General features: G+C 36.5%; 1 protein-coding gene across 6 annotated transcripts in view; it reads right to left on the bottom strand.

Annotated features, from left to right (window-relative positions):
* Positions 1-3,477: 3,477 nt before the first annotated feature.
* TOGARAM1 (TOG array regulator of axonemal microtubules 1) overlaps positions 3,478-16,316 on the bottom strand; it is a 112,242-nt gene continuing 99,403 nt past the window's right edge. For 5 of the 6 annotated variants that reach the window (NR_131765.2, NM_001308120.2, NM_015091.4 and 2 more), the window contains 4 exons: positions 11,142-11,331; positions 9,266-9,485; positions 6,111-6,197; positions 3,478-4,613 (listed from right to left, as the gene is read on the bottom strand). Coding sequence is in view for 5 of the 6 variants with exons in the window: in NM_001308120.2 (NP_001295049.1) it covers positions 4,348-4,613; positions 6,111-6,197; positions 9,266-9,485; positions 11,142-11,331 (763 nt within the window). In the remaining variant the exon portion in view is untranslated. The remainder of the gene's footprint in view (positions 4,614-6,110; positions 6,198-9,265; positions 9,486-11,141; positions 11,332-16,316) is intronic. The other variant, XM_011536571.2, reaches the window with a different exon arrangement.

Genomic DNA, 16,316 nt, shown 5'->3' with positions numbered 1-16,316 from the left:
GCACTCCAGCCTGGGTGACAGAGTGAGACTCTGTCTCAAAAAATAATTTAAAAATAAAATAAAGAGGAAAAATAAAATAAAGGTTTTCAGAACCTACTGTATAACAAGATGACTATAGTTTATAATAATGTGTATTTGAAAATTGCTATGAGAGTGGATTTTAATGTGATCACCACAAAAAAAAAGTTAGGTCTGTAAGGTGATGGATATGTTAATTAACTTTATGATCCACAATGTATAAAAACATTAAGTTGTACCTCATAAATATACACAATAAAATAATTCCTTTTTGCTCATGCCAGTTGGGTCTTCCTTCTGTTGGGAATGTTACCTTTATATAGCATTTGAGGTTTACAAATGCTTTTTTTTTTTTTGAGACGGAGTCTCGCTTGTCACCCAGGCTGCAGTGCAATGGCGCGGTCTTGGCTCACTGCAACCTCCACCTCCTGGGTTCAAGCAATTCTCCTGCCTCAGTCTCCCAAGTAGCTGGGATTACAGGTGTCCGCCACCATGCCTGGCTAATTTTTGTATTTTTAGTAGAGATGCAGTTTCACCATGTTGCCCAGGCTGGTTTCGAACTCCTGAACTCAGGTGATCTGCCTGCCTTGGCCTCCCAAAGCGTTGGGATTACAGGCATGAGCCACCGTGCCCGGCCCTACAAATGCTTTCTTATACATAATCCTTTTTAAATTTTGGACTTCACAATAATCCCAGGATGTATGTAAGGTTTAGCAGGTAATTATAAAACTGGGTTTCCAAATTCATGCTTTCTGAATCAAAGTCTTATGCTTTTTATCTGAATAATACTTGCCTCCCTCGGTCATCTCCCTTTGAGTCACATCACTGTGTACCTCCCTTAGCACTTTTGTGATGTTCACTGCTCTCTTCTTTGCTATATATTTTTTCCTCTCCAAATTACTTTTCAGATTCTCTTCAGATTCTCTTCACTTATTGTAATTTAAATTTTACTATAAGCAATATGTCTTGTTCATTTCTGAAAAAATAGAAATTACAGAAGAGTACATTGAAAAAAATTAAAATAACTTCACTGCCCACAGATTACCACCATTAAGATGTTGGTATATATATACTACTACTTCTGTTTTCTAAGTGCACATATATTAATGGAGACACTGTACTTATTTTGTAGTCACATTTTTCCTTTAACATGTATTTGGCATCGTTTTTAATGACTATATGATATGCATTCCATTGGGTAAATACATCATTTAACATTTTTTGTTGTTGCATTGGTGGGTGACGTTAGGCTTTTATCATTACCATTGCTAGTAAACGACATTCCTTTATTCCAAGTAAATGCGTTTGTTTATTCGGGACTTCAGCTTTTCTTTAGTTATTTCAATCAGTGATCAGTCTGTTTCTTTGTTGACCTCTGGGTTGATAATGGTTCTCGATAAGAGTGCTAGACTTCTGAGTGCTCAATTATCAAGCAGTTACTAAAATACAGAAACTCTTTAGGCTTGAGACTCTTTTGTTACATTAATGGCTATTTTCTTTATAATAAAAGGTAGCTCACATATTATGTAAAATAAAGTTGCCACATTATTGATTATATTTACTGTATTTTTTTCTCCCTAGACTGATCAGAATATTGTACTTTTCAGTGCAAAATTCAAACTAAGGAATTAGGCTTATACATGAAGTAATGGTCTTCTTTATCCTTTAAAATGTAAAATCTACCTTCAATATATCTAACAATCTATTGATGCAAATTTAGCTAGCACAAGTGCAGTGATACAAAGGCAGAAGTCATAATTAATAAAACTTAAAATCTGTAACTATTGTATCAATGATGCATATCAAGTAGGGTTGAAGCAAAATGTAATGATTTCAGAGTTTACAACTGAGATCAAATGAGTCTAACAGAGGCCTATTTTTCTATGACCTGAGCTAAGAATATTTTTTTACATTTTTTAAGTGTAAAAAATAGGCCAGGCACAGTGGCTCACGCCTGTAATCCCAGCACTTTGGGAGGCCGAGGCGGGCAGATCACCTGAGGTCAGGAGTTTGAGACCAGCCTGGACAACATGGCGAAACCCCGTCTCTACTAAAAGTACAAAAATTAGCTGGGCATGGTGACGGGCGCCTTTAATCCCAGCTACTCAGGAGGCTGAGGCAGGAGAATTGCCTGAACCTGGGAGGGGGAGGTTAAAGTGAGCCGAGATTGCGCCATTGCAGTCCAGCCTGGGTGTCAAGAGCAAGACTCCATCTCAAAATAGATACATAAATAAAATACGGGCTTACAAATCCGAAAATATTTACTCTATGGCCCTATACATAAAGTACACCAAACTAGAGGACTGTAATAAAATACACTTAGAAGAAAATATAAGGTATTTTAAAAGTATATAATTATATAAAAGTTTATATAAATAGAAAAAGTAGCCAATTCTTTACTCTTATTTTAGCTTAGCTTGAAATAGAAGCAACCCCCTTACCCTTTTTTTTTTTTTCTCAGAAGCTAAGGATAAATTTTTCTTTTTTTTTTTTGGAGGTGGAGTTTTGCTCTTGTACCCCAGGCTGGAGTACAATGGTGCAGTCTCAGCTCACCACAACCGCCGCCTCCCGGTTTCAAGCGATTCTCCTGCCTCAGCCTCCGAGTAGCCGGGATTACAGGCATGCGCCACCATGCCCGGCTAATTTTTCTATTTTTAGTAGAGATGGGGTTTCACCATGTTGGTCAGGCTGGTCTTGAACTCCCGAACTCAGATGATCCACCCACCTTGGCCTCCCAAAGTGCTGGGATTACAGGCGCGAGCCACCACGCCTGGCTTTTTTTTTTTTTGAGACAGAGTCTCACTCTGTCGCCCAGGTTGGAGTGCAATGGTACGATCTCTGGCTCAATACGACCTCGCCTCCCAGGTTCAAGCAATTCTCCTGCCTCAGCCTCCCGAGTAGCTGGGATTACAGGTGCCCGCCACCACACCTGGCTATTTTTGTGTTTTTAGTAGAGACAGGGTTTCACCATATTGGCCAGGCTGGTCTCAAACTCCTGACCTCGTGATCTGCCCACCTCAGCCTCCCAAAGTGCTGGGATTACAGGCTTGAGCCACCACGCCCGGCCAGGATAAATTTTTTTAAATCACAATTTTAAAAACAGCCAAATACATTAGAAAACTGGTCAGTGACTCAGAAGTACAAAAGAATGAACATAGAATTATAGAATTTTAGAACAGGATAGGACCTTTAAAATCTTCTAGTCTAGCTCTTACATTTTAGACATGAGGAAACTGAGGCCCAGACCTGGTAAGTGACTTGTCCGAGGTCAGACAGCTAATTTCCTACAAAGTTAGAATGATAACCCACGTCTATTTGTAGGTCAATAGTGATAGGTCAGTATCATAATAAGTAGATCAAGTGAAAGTGATAGGTCGATACTACTGTATATATATATATATTTTTTTTTCCATTTTAACATGTATGGAAGTTGGAAAAACAGGACACCTCTCACACATCTAAAGAAATAAATCCTTTTATTTTATAACATTCCTTTTCTTTTTAAAGATGCATACAGTACTTGTAAGCCCATGAATTCTGAAAAAAGCTATAGAAGACCTGGCACTATTTTTGAGAATTACAAAACTGGGCAGCAGAATAACACCTTTATAAAGGTCAAAACATAAAGCAATAAAATTTAGTGTTTGCACACAAAAATAGGGGGGTTACATTCAACACGTTTTTTAAACGTGCATTTAAAATGTTTAATGTTTTCTAAAACTTTGGTTGTCATGCTTTATTATAACTTGTTAAATTTCACAATTATGTAGATAATTGAACCCAAAAGGTAAGCAAATATATGACATTAACACAGCAGCAAAAGCAAGCTAATACTGCACAATCATATTAGCGGACTGATTCAGAAATACATGTTTTTCACAAATAATATACAAACTTAGTTTCTGATAACATAGTTCAATGACTTCCACGTTATAAAATAAGGCTGAGAAATGAGACATACCAGAACATGATTACATAATAAAATGTGTATTTTTAATTACAATTCTAATTTTACATATAGGGCAACAAATTGTAGTTTCTATAGAATAGTGCAAATGAGCAGGACTTTTCTCAAAAATATTAAAATTGAATTCATCCCATGTGACTCAGATTTCATGAATTATTCATGAATATTTTAGGTTTTTATGTGATGAATATAAGTGGTAAGGTTGATATAGGACAGATGTGTACTCATAGGCTGCAAATAAAAATAGCCATTGACTTAATTTGCTGGATGTGAAGTGCAGGCACTGATAACATAACTTTTAGAAAGTTCCATTTGTCATCATGTAAACACTTTTGTTCATCATACAGTATTTTATCGAAGATTCATAATTCATTTAAAATTGTCATATCGAGTAATTCCTCCAAACTCTTTTTGATATGTGGTGGTTGAGATGCAGCCTGATTTAACAGATTCTGACCCATCTGTGCAAAGAGTGCTTTTGATAATTTAGCTGTGGCTGTTCGTATATTTCCTCCAGCTCCAGGCAGAGAGCCACTATTTGTCATATTTCCTAAGAGATGCCATAAAACAACCAACACTTTCTGCTCTGTGGCATGCGGCTTCCTTTGATAAAGTTCCGTAACAATATCTGAAACATAAAAATATAAAAAACAGGGTTTTTTCTTAATAAATAAGCCCAAGCTCTGCTAAATAAAAAGCAACTAAAATATACTAAGCTTCTTCCTTATGTAATTTGTCCTAAAAAGTTAGGCTTCTTAAAAGAAGCAATGTAAGAAACCTTTCTCTCAAAGATTGGGATCTTCAAATATGGTATTAGAATCCCATATAGAACAATTAGTTCATGCAAAAGTGGTAAGGAGAGAAAATGAACCCAAATTCATCTCGATGTTTTCCAAATGTAGTGAAACAAAAATGTACACAGTTTTAACCCATGGACCTTTTATCAAACATGACTTTGAAATAGCAGTTTTCTGTAAGAACCAAAATTTGATTTTAATGTCTTTTTACTTTTCCCGTATTATTTCTACTAATGTAACCAAGTACCCTATTTTTAAGGGCTTTTTTTCTTCTCCTTTTATGGCCCTTTGTATTCACGTTTTACTAATGAAATAATAAATTTTGCTTTCCTTCTTTCTACTAGATACTCCTTTGCATTGCTAACCTATCTAATTATGTTTGCTTAGAAGTTCCAGAGACTGGGCTGGGTGCAGTGGCTCACGCCTGAAATTCTAGCACTTTGAGAGGCCGAGGTGGGTGGATCACTTGAGGTCAGAAGTTCAAGACCAGCCTGGCCAACATGGTGAAGCCCCATCTCTACTAAAAATAAAAAAACTAGCCAGGCGTGGTAGCAGGCACCTGTAGTCCCAGCTACTCAGGAGGCTGAGGCAGGAATCACTTGAACCCAGGAGGCGGAGGTTGCAATTAGCCGATATTGCGCCACTGCACTCCAGCCTAGGCAACAGAGCGAGACTCTGTCTCAAACATTAAAAAAAAAAAAAAGTTCCAGAGACTCCGTCTTGAGACAATTCAGATATCTATGGAATTCTCTCTAACCAGGAGATTACTTCAAGGCTGTGGTGCTAATTTACAACCCAGTCCGGCCTGAGACAGCACTGGACCATTCACCATATGGGGCAATAACTCAAGATAAGTCATAGGAACAAATCATGTAGAACTGTACTGCCTGGCCCACTGCATGTCCTCTATGCAAACCTGCTCCTTCTTAAACCCTAGCATTTTGCCTGAGAATTTTGAAGCAGTTTTGTTAAGGCAGGAGCCTGAACCACCTGCCAACTGCTAACTTTGGAAAATAAAGTCACTTTCCTTCCACTGCACCTCATCCTTGTTACTCAATTTTCCAAGTGGTGACTGGCTGAACCTGCACTGCATTTGGCTACACTAATAGGGGACTGAACATTTACTGGAAAAAAAAGGATAAAATTCTTTTGACAATAATGTATGGGGTAAAAGTCTTAAAAGGTTCTCTTGTGGATCATTACACAATTTATTTCTACTTTGTGGGTAGCTATATTAAGTTGGTAGCTATCCTAAAATTAAATTGAAACAGTTTATCAGTTTATCCTTAGTTAATAAAATATTTCTTTAGAAATTACAAAGTATTTACCAGCAAGCTTTTCCGTCATGTCCTGTTTTGCTTTTCCATTTAAAAACTGAGCTTTTGTGCAAAATGGCTGTAGAAGTAAGTAATTGTCTAAACAAAAAGAACACAGAGACACATGTTTAAAGAGTAATGAGCTCTTAGTTACTTTCCATTACATAGCATTGAAAAGAAAAAAAAAATCACTTCTAGGATGCAAATGTATAACACTTTAAAAATCTACATAATCACTATTTAAAATTTTCTATAAAACCTTGCATGGTGGCTAGCACCTGTAATTCCAGCTACTTGGGAGGCTGAGGTGAGAGGATCATTTGAGCCCAGGAGTCTGAGGCTGCAGTGAGCTATGATTGTGCCACTGCACCCCAACCTGGGTGAGAGTGACACTCTGTCTCTAAAAACCAACAAACCAAACAAAAGCTTAACAGAGTAATATTCTTAAAGCAAATGAGAACTAAAAATACCTCACACAGTTTTAAAGGAGCTATCATGTGGTATTTAAAAAAAAAAAAAAAAAAACTGCCTGAATCTCCTAGGCATCTTATTTCAAACGATAACATAGTTTTATCAAAAAACAGAAAAAGCAGCCGGGTGTGGTGGCTCATGCCTGTAATCCCAGAACTTTGGGAGGCCAAGGTGGGCAGATCACAAGGTCAGGAGTTTGAGACCATCCTGGCCAGCACAGTGAAATCCTGTCTCTACTAAAAATACAAAAATTAGCTGGGCGTGGTGGTGCGTGCCTGTAATCCCAGCTACTTGGGAGGCTGAGGCAGGAGAATCGCTTGAACCAGGGAGTCGGAAGTTGCAGTGAGCTGAGATCATGCCATTGCACTCCAGCCTGGTGATAGAGTGAGACTCCGTCTCAAAACAACAACAACAACAACAACAACAACAGAAAAAGGGAAGCAGTTTTTACATTTACTGAATTTTTTTCTTAAGTTTTAATTTTGAAATAATAATAGAAACAGAGAAATTTACAAAGATTATATACAGGTCCTGTGTACCTTCCACCCAAAGGTTTCATCTTAAATAACTACAATTGACCCTTGGACAACACAGGGGTTAGGGGAGCCAACCTCTGTACAATTGAAAATTCGTGTTTAACTTTTCACACTCCCCAAACTTAACTACTAATAACTTACTGTTGATCAGAAACCTTACCAATAACATAAACTGTCAATGAACACATATTTTGGATGTTATATGTATTATATACTGTATTCTTACAAAAAAGTAAGCTAGAGAAAAGAAAATATTAGGAGAGAGAAGAAAAATAAATTTACAGTATTGTATTTGTCAATAATGCAAATTTATGTCATCTGTTTACAAGATTAGTCATCTGTCTGAAATGGTGAGCAACCACAGCTGCAGACCTCAAGCTACTCAGATATCAAGCAATTCAAATTTATCATGTCATGACTTTCCCCTGCTTATTGGGAGCACTTCCAGCATCACTAGTGGCACTTCATATAGGTCTGATGGTGTCACTCAAGTTTTATGGTATTATAGTAAACCTGATGAAAAATACTTAAGAACCATCCATTTGCATATGTTGAACCATCCTTGCATCCCTGGGATAAATTCCACGTGGACATGACGGATAATCTTTTTTTTCTTTTTTTTGAGATGGAGTCTCACTCTGTCATCCAGGCTGAAGTGCAGTGGCGTGATCTTGGTTCACTGCAAGCTCCACCTCCCGGGTTCATGCCATTCTCCTGCCTCAGCCTCCCAAGTAGCTGGGACTACAGGCACCTGCCACCACGCCCGGCTAATTTTTTGTATTTTTAGTAGAGACGGGGTTTCACCATGTTAGCCAGGATGGTCTCGATCTCCTGACCTCGTGATCTGCCTGCCTCGGCCTCCCAAAGTGCTGCAATTACAGGTGTGAGCCACTGTGCCTGGCCGAATAATCTTTTTATACAAATTTGTTTCATGTTCCTAATATTTTGTTCTTTTTTATTAAGTAGTATTCCATGGTATATTTAGATTTTAAAGAAACTGCCAAACCTAGAGTGGCTGTACCATTTTATTTACATTCTCACCAGCTGTGTATGAGATGTAGTTTCTCTGTAATCTTGTCAGCATTTTGTATTGTCACTATTTTTTATTTTGGATGTTCTAATACTTGTGTGGTGATCATGGCCTTAACTTGCATATGCATTTCCCGGATGGCTAGTGATGTTGAACATCTTTTCACTTGCTTATTTGACCAGTCACACATCCTCCCTTATTTGCCATCCGTATAGCCTCATGGTTTAAATATTTTTTCAGGTCTTTTGTCTATTTTTTTATTTGAGTTTTTTTTTATGTTGAGCTTTGAGATTTCTTTACATATTCTAGGTATGAGTTCTTTGTCAAATATGCGGTTTGAAAATATTTTTCCCAGTCTGTAGCTTGTCCCTTTATCTATTTTTTTTTAATTTTTTAAAATTTTTTGATACAGAGTCTCACTCTGCTGCCCAGGCTGCAGTGCAGTGGTACAATCTTGGCTCACTGCAACCTCCACCTCCTGGGTTCAAGCGATTCTCCTGCCTCAGCTTCCAGGGTAGCTGGGATTACAGGCACGCACCACCACACCCAGCTAATTTTTGTATTTATAGTAGAGATGGGGTTTCACTATATTAGCCAGGATGGTCTTGAACTCCCAACCTCAGGTGATCTGCCCACCTTGGCAGATCAACCCCAAAGGGCTGAGATTATAGGATCATGCTTTTAGTGCCATATGTAAAACTTTTCACCAAGTCCTAAGATTTTCTCATGTTATCTTCTAAAAGTTTTACATTTAAGTTGTACATTTAACTCTACGATCCATTTTGAGTTAGTTTATTTATTATTATTTTCTTATTTTTATATTTTTTTCTTTATTTTATTTCTGGATCATCTCATGCCGAAGTATTGAGTTAGTTTTGTTAGCAGATGTGAGGTTGAGGCAGAAAAAGAAATAAAAGTCACAGATAAGGGAAAAGAAAGTCAATTTAATGGGACAGAATTTAATCACTAAAAATAATTTTAAAACCATTGAGAATAGAAAGTTTTATGATAATATTAAGTTTAAAAAACTGAATAACTAGGATTTCAGCATTACAAAAAAAGTATGGATGGAATCAGAAAACATGAAAAGAAAGTGAAAATAATTTGAGTGCCGAAGTAAGATTTCTTACCTACATGCTGACTCAGTGCCTGAACAACATTTGTAGCAGCCGCATAGATGCCTGGATTCTTGGAATTCAGATTGTTATCCACTATTGCTGGAATTAGCATGTTGATTATAGGAGATAAGTGGTCTCTAAGTAGAGGAATCATTTTGTGCATTGTTTCCAGAGCCACCAGATTTACTTTACTATTAGAATCATGAAGTCGAGATTTAAAAGCATCAAAAATCTGAAAATAAATTGGTAAATTATTTAAAGTAAAATGATTTTTATAGCTATTGTATTTATAAGTATCTTGGCATGTCATAATATTTCTCCTACTTTACTCAGTTTAAATATATACACAACATCCTATTTTGCCTGAACTTGGATAACAGGAACTTTATAAAAATTTGGGTACTAAATCTAAGTGTCAAATCTTCTTGTAACAAAAAGAGAAGGCCTCAAAAATCACCCCAAAAGACATCCTAATAAAGGCTGAAAAATGTGGCTCAGTAGGCAGATGACTGACTGACTGACTGTAAATATGATAAACATCTTGTTTTCTGGAAGATGGAGGTTAGCTTAGCTAACTCTAAGAACTTAGAAAAGTTTCTGTTTTTATCTCTTTTCACACTAGAAGTAGACTTGTAAGTTTTACTGTGGAGATTTAACCTAGTTTCAGTTTAGGTTTATTATGAAAATTTTAGATGCAATTTCAGAGTTAAATTTGTATTATTATCTCTTAACCTGAAAACTTTTAACAATAATTCCTTGCTCTTCAGAATCCTTAACTTTCATAAACTCAAGATATAATAAAGTGAATGCTAAACAATCCTTTAGTCATGTCAGGTGAGTGAAGAGCTACTCTATGAGCTGAGACTATTCACTAATAATTTCTAATACTTATTTATTATTTTTCATGTTAAGAATAATCTTCCCAAGAGATTTATTTTTACTCAATAGATATCAGAAAATATAACTTTCTGGCTCCCATGACATGGTAATATGGTTCTTTTCTTCAGAAAACTGAGACAATACCATGAGAAGTAAAGAGTACTTATGGTATGTTTGCCAAGTATAATGCACATTACACAAATTTAAAATGAAATTTAATTAATAAATTATTAATAGAATTAACTGAACTAAATTCTGATCAAGCAAAAATAATCTATGCTCTGACATGATGAATATTTATTAATATTTCCCTTTCTTTTGCTTATTGTCTTCCTAAAGATAGGTACACAGGAGTCAGTATATAGAGATTTCTAACCCACATATGGAAAGTTTTATTATCTGTTCTAAAGCAATATCAAGTCTCTTATCTGTCTTTGCTTTTTAAAAATATGTATTGATTAATTCAACATATATTTACTAGATGCCAGGTTCTGAGAGCTCTGAGAATATAGCAGTTTCAAGGAGCTTACCATCTTGTGGCAGGATTCAGACTAATAAATAGCTATCCTCTTACTTTGTTTCAGTGACTTTGAGTTGTTCTAGTATGCTTTTAACCTAGAAAAACCTAGAAAATCCATTCTTTTCACTAAGCTTATTTTCACACTTGAGAATTATATATCTATATATGATATGTATATAAGTAATTTATTAGTTACATTCCATTTTAAATTTGTGTAATTTGTATATAGATATAGAGAGAAGGTATATAAAACACTAAGATTTAGGGCAATGTTTTAAACTGATAAACTTCATTTGACATAGATTTCAAATGAAAATAAATTTTTATTTTCTTTTTTGTAGAGACAGGGTCTTGCTATGTTGCCCAGGTTGGGCTTGAACTTTGAACTCCTAGCCTCAAGAGATCCTTCTACCTTGGCTTCCCAAAGTGCTTGGATTACAGGCGTGAGCCACCATACCCACATTAAAATTAATTCTGACAAGTCCTTACCTTCACAATGTTTCCAACAACAAGGTCTTGATTATTTTCTGTATCTGATAAAAGCTGCTTAATCCCATTAATACGATCACGAAAGTCTTTTGCATTTAATAAGCCAGTTATGAGTTTAAGGTACTCAGCACTTTCTAAGGAATTACGAGGGACTGATTTTCTGGTGACTTCACGAACTTCAGTTACAGCTCTAAAGTGAAAGAAAGGTGAAGGTAATTTCATTTGTACTTTCCTATAAAAACTATTATACAAACATAATTTAAAAATCTCATTATGCATTCATTTTCCAAAATGCATAAAATGCAAAAAACTGTGGCTAACCCATAGCCACAGTATCTCTCCTGGGGGTCCCCAGGATCTCCCCTGGATTTGGATATTTGCTAGGAAGACTCGTAAGAGTTAGCCTATACTTTTACTCATGGCTAAAATTTATTACAGCAGAAGGATACCAAACAAAATCAGCTGAGGGAACAGGTGCACAAGTCAAAGACCAGAGGAAACCAGATCTAAGCTTTTAAGAGTCCTTTCCCAGTAGAGTCGCACAGAACACAATTCCTTCAGCAATGAGTTATGACAACATATGTGAAATGTTGTCTACTAAGTAAGCTTATTAGAGGCCTCATGTCTAGAGTTTTCACTGGGAGCTGGTAATGTAGGGACTGTCTGCCTAGGACATACCAAAATTCCAGACTCCCAGAAGGAAACCAGGCCTCCAGCATAAACCATATTGTTTGCCCAAACAATTTAGGCGCAGTAAACTATCTTATCAGTTAGGGCATAGTGGGAATCCTCTTGAAATCCTAGTTTCCCATGTCAGCGAAGAGCTAACCTTGCAAGCAGCCTTTTTTAGGGATAGCAGTCTCAGGACTGCAATGTTAACTTTTTTCTGAACAGCTTCCTTGCCCGTTGAGATCTAGATAAATTACCTTGAACCTCTTTCAAAAAACTCATCCTCCAGAGAAGATTAAGTGAACCACTCTTATGAGGAATAGTTGAAATCTTTCCAAAACCTAAGTTCCCAGATGTCAACCAATGGGCAATCTCTCTAAGCAGGCCTTTCTAAGAATAGCAGTCTTGGGCCCTGTTATGTTAACTCTTTCCTGCAAAGTATCCGTGAGAACACTCATGGGACAATGAGAAACTAGAGACCAGCAGGAATTATTATGGCAATGACAGTATTCATAGCATAATATTTTTCGTGGCTATAAAGGGGTAACTCAATGTGGTAGATCCAGCTTGTCCATCCCATGGTCTGCAGGTCGCATGCAGCCCAGGACAGCTTTAAATGCAGCCTAACACAAATTCATAAATTTTCTTAAAACATTATGAGATTTTTGTGTATATGTGAATGTTTTTTCTTTTGTTTTTTTGTTTTTAGCTCATCAGCCATCATTAGTGTTGGTGTATTTTATGTGTGGCCAAGACAATTCTTCTGCAGTGTGGCAAGGGAAGCAAAAGATTGGACACCCCTGTTTAGATGATCATCCTTTTGAAACTAAAGAGTCATGCAAAGTGACAGGTAGGTTGGTTGGTCAATCTGTCTATCTATTTTAGATGCAGAGTCTCACTCTATCTTTCTATCTATTTTATTTTTTTAATTTTTAATTTATTTTTGAGAAAGAGTCTCACTTTGTCACCCAGGCTGCAGTGCAGTGGCATGATCTTGGCTCACTGCAAGTAAGCTCAATGTAAGTATATTGTAAGGTTCTTACATTATACTTAAAGTGGTCTAATACTATTTGAAAGTATACTGTGAGACAGTAAAGATGCACATTATAATATTATAAAGTCTAGATCAACCACTTTAAAAAAGGAACAAAAAGATACAGCTAATGAAGGAAATACATGAAATACCAAAATGCACACAAACGCACTCACACCCCCTACCTCTCAATCAATCTTATACCAAGCACAAAAAGAAGAAAAAGAAACAGAAAACATAAGACAAATAGAAAAACACTATCAAAATGAGAGGCTTAAATTCAACCATGCGAATAACTACTTTAAACCTAAATGGTCAAATACCCTGATTAAAAAGCAGAGACTGTTACATTGGTAATAAGACAAGACTCCAACCTGGGCAACAAATTGAGACCTCATCTGTACAAAAAATACAAAAAACTAGCTGAGTGACAGGGTAGGGGTGGCATGGGCTTGTAGTCCCAGGTACTCGGGAGGCTAAGGTGGGAGGACACTTGAGCCCTGGGAGGTCGAGGCTGCAGTGAGCCATGATCACGTCATTGCACTCCAGCCTGGATGACAGAGCAAGACCCTGCCCTCAAAAAAGACAAGACTGAGTCACGTACTGCCCAGAAAAATGCTCTTTAAAAAGACATAAGCTGGGCATGGTGGCTTACACCTATAATCCCAGCACTTTGGAAGACCGAGGCTGGAGGATTACTTGAGCCCAGGAGTCAACACCAGCCTGGGCAACATAGCAAGACCCCATCTCTTTTTATTAAAAATTAATAAAAAATATATTTTTTAATTAAGAAGACATACCAGGAAATACAAGCAAAAACCACAATGCATTAAAGAAAAATTATTTTCACACTTGTTAAAATGGTAAGAAAGACTTTATTCAAGAGGGATCATGACTACTACAATAAGGGAGAACAACTGTTCTTAACTCTGACTATAGTAAAGACAGATAGGGATTTATGGCCCACAACCAGAGCGGGGGGTGGGGGTCAGTGGATAGAAAATTACTAAGAGGAGACATTAAAAAGTAGGAAGTTTCTTGCAAAACTGGCCTAATAAGATGTGTGCTAAAGGAAGTCCAAAGACTTATACATCAAAGGTGGTGGGGGTGAGGAACTTGATCAGATATCAAGGGTGATAACATATCAAAGGAAGGAGAGATGAGCTAGCAGGATACCTTGCTAAGACTGGGTTAGGCAGGTCAAGGACAGGGCCCAAGGTCAAGGCCGAATTGAAAATAGGGCTTAGAGAAGCAAGTCTACAGTTTGGTCCAGAAGAATCTTTGTCGGGCGAGAAGCCAGTGGCTCACGCCTGTAATCCCAGCACTTTGGGAGGCCGAGGTGGGTGGATCACAAGGTCAAGAGATGGAGACCATCCTGGCCAACATCGTGAAACCCTGTCTCTACTAAAAATACAAAAATTAGCTGGGCATGGTGGCACGCGCCTATAGTCCCAGCTACTCAGGAGGCTGAGGCAGGAGAACTGCTTGAACCTGGGAGGCAGAGGTTGCAGTGAGATCACGCCACTGTACTCCACCTTGGGCGACAGTGCGAGACTCTGTCTCCAAAAAAAAAAAAAAAAAAAAAACTTTGTCAAATGAGATACTAGTTTATAGCCACTGAAATAATCACAAGTATTGGTGAGGATGTGAAAAAATTGAACCCTTTTACACTACTGGTGAGATGTAAAATGGTGGCACTTTGGAAAAACTTTCTGCTGGTTCTTCAAAAGATTAAACATAGAGTTATCATATGATCCAGCAATTCCACTCCTACACATCCAAGAGAACTGAAAACATATGTCCACAACAAAACCAAACTGATGAATAGATAAACAATGTGTGCTATATCCATATACGGATGAATGGAATAGTATTTGCCCATAAAAAGGAATGAAGTATTGATAAATGCTATAACATGGAAGAGCCCTTGATATTTTGATTAAAAAAAATGGATAAGCCTTAATATAAACGTAAGTATAAGAAGCCAGTCACAAAAGACCACATATCATATGATTTCCTTTATATGAAATGTCCAGAATAAACAAATCCATAGAAACAGAAGACAAACTGCCTAGGGCTGGGGAAGGGAAGATTGTTGAGAAATGGGGCATGACTGCTAATAAGTATGAGATTTCTTTTAAGGTGACAACAATATTCTAAAATTATGATGGCAGTTACACAACTCAATGAATATACTCATGCTCCTCGATTTGCAATGGAGTTACATCCCGATAAACCCACTGTATGTTGAAAATATTTTAAATCAAAAATGCATTCAATACGTCTAGCCTACCTTAAACATGTTCAGAACACTTACATTATCCTATACTGGGGCAAATAATCTACCACAAAGCCTATTTTATAATGAATAATTTATTGAATATTATACTGAAAGTGAAAAACAGAATGATTGTATGAATACTCAAAGTACAGTTTCTACTGTACTAAATGCATACTGCTTTTGCACCATTGTAAGGTTGAAAAATCGTAAGTTGAACGATCCTAAGTTGGACACCATGTGTACTAAAAAACATTGAATTGCATGTCTTAAATAGATGAATTATATAGTAGGTGAATTACGTCTCCGTAACACTGTAATTTAAAGAAAGACATACCATGCAAATCTTCTATCAAAAGAAAACTAAAATAGTCTACTAACATAGACTTCAGGACAAAGAATATTACCAGCGATAAAGGTACTTAATAATGACAAAAGGACCAATTTATCAGAAATCACAACTATCCTCAATGTATTTAAACGTAATCACAGTGGATCAAAATACATGAAGCAAAAAGTGATACAACAGAAAGCATAAATAAATCCACAAATACATTGGGGATGTCAATACTCCTATCTCAGCAATTGATAGAACAAGTAGAAAAAAATCAGTAAGATTATAGAACACTTGAATAACAACCGACTTAACCTAACTGACATTTTATAGAATACTACATTCAACAAGAGCAGAATGTACATTCTTTCAAGTAGATATAAAATAGTCAGTAATATAGAACACATGCTGGGCCATAAAACAAGTCTCAAGAAGTTTAAAAGAACTAGAATCCTATGGAGCATGTTCAATGACAGAGCAGAACTAAATTTAAAATCATTAACAAAACGATATTTAGAAAATCTCCAAATATTTGAAAATTAAATACACTTCTAAATAGCACCTGTATTAAAGAAGAAACCACAAGGGATTATTCAGCATTATCCCAATACCAAATCCAAAGACATTCTAAGACAAGGAAACTAAAGACCTCATGATTATAGATACAAAAATACTTAAATAATTTTAGTAAATAAAACCCAGTAATATATTAAAAATATCACACATCATCATCACCAAGTGGGGCTAATCCAAGGAATACAAGTTATCATTTTTAATAACATAATTCACAATAGTAACAAAATAAACAAAAAATATAATTATCTTAATAGATGCTGGAAGGGCATTTGAGAAAAATTCAAC

This window comes from Homo sapiens, chromosome 14, assembly GCF_000001405.40.
Source record: "Homo sapiens chromosome 14, GRCh38.p14 Primary Assembly".
Lineage (NCBI taxonomy): Eukaryota > Metazoa > Chordata > Mammalia > Primates > Hominidae > Homo > Homo sapiens.
The sequence above is the reverse complement of the archived record's forward strand: the minus strand, read 5'-3'. Positions and strand labels throughout refer to the sequence as shown.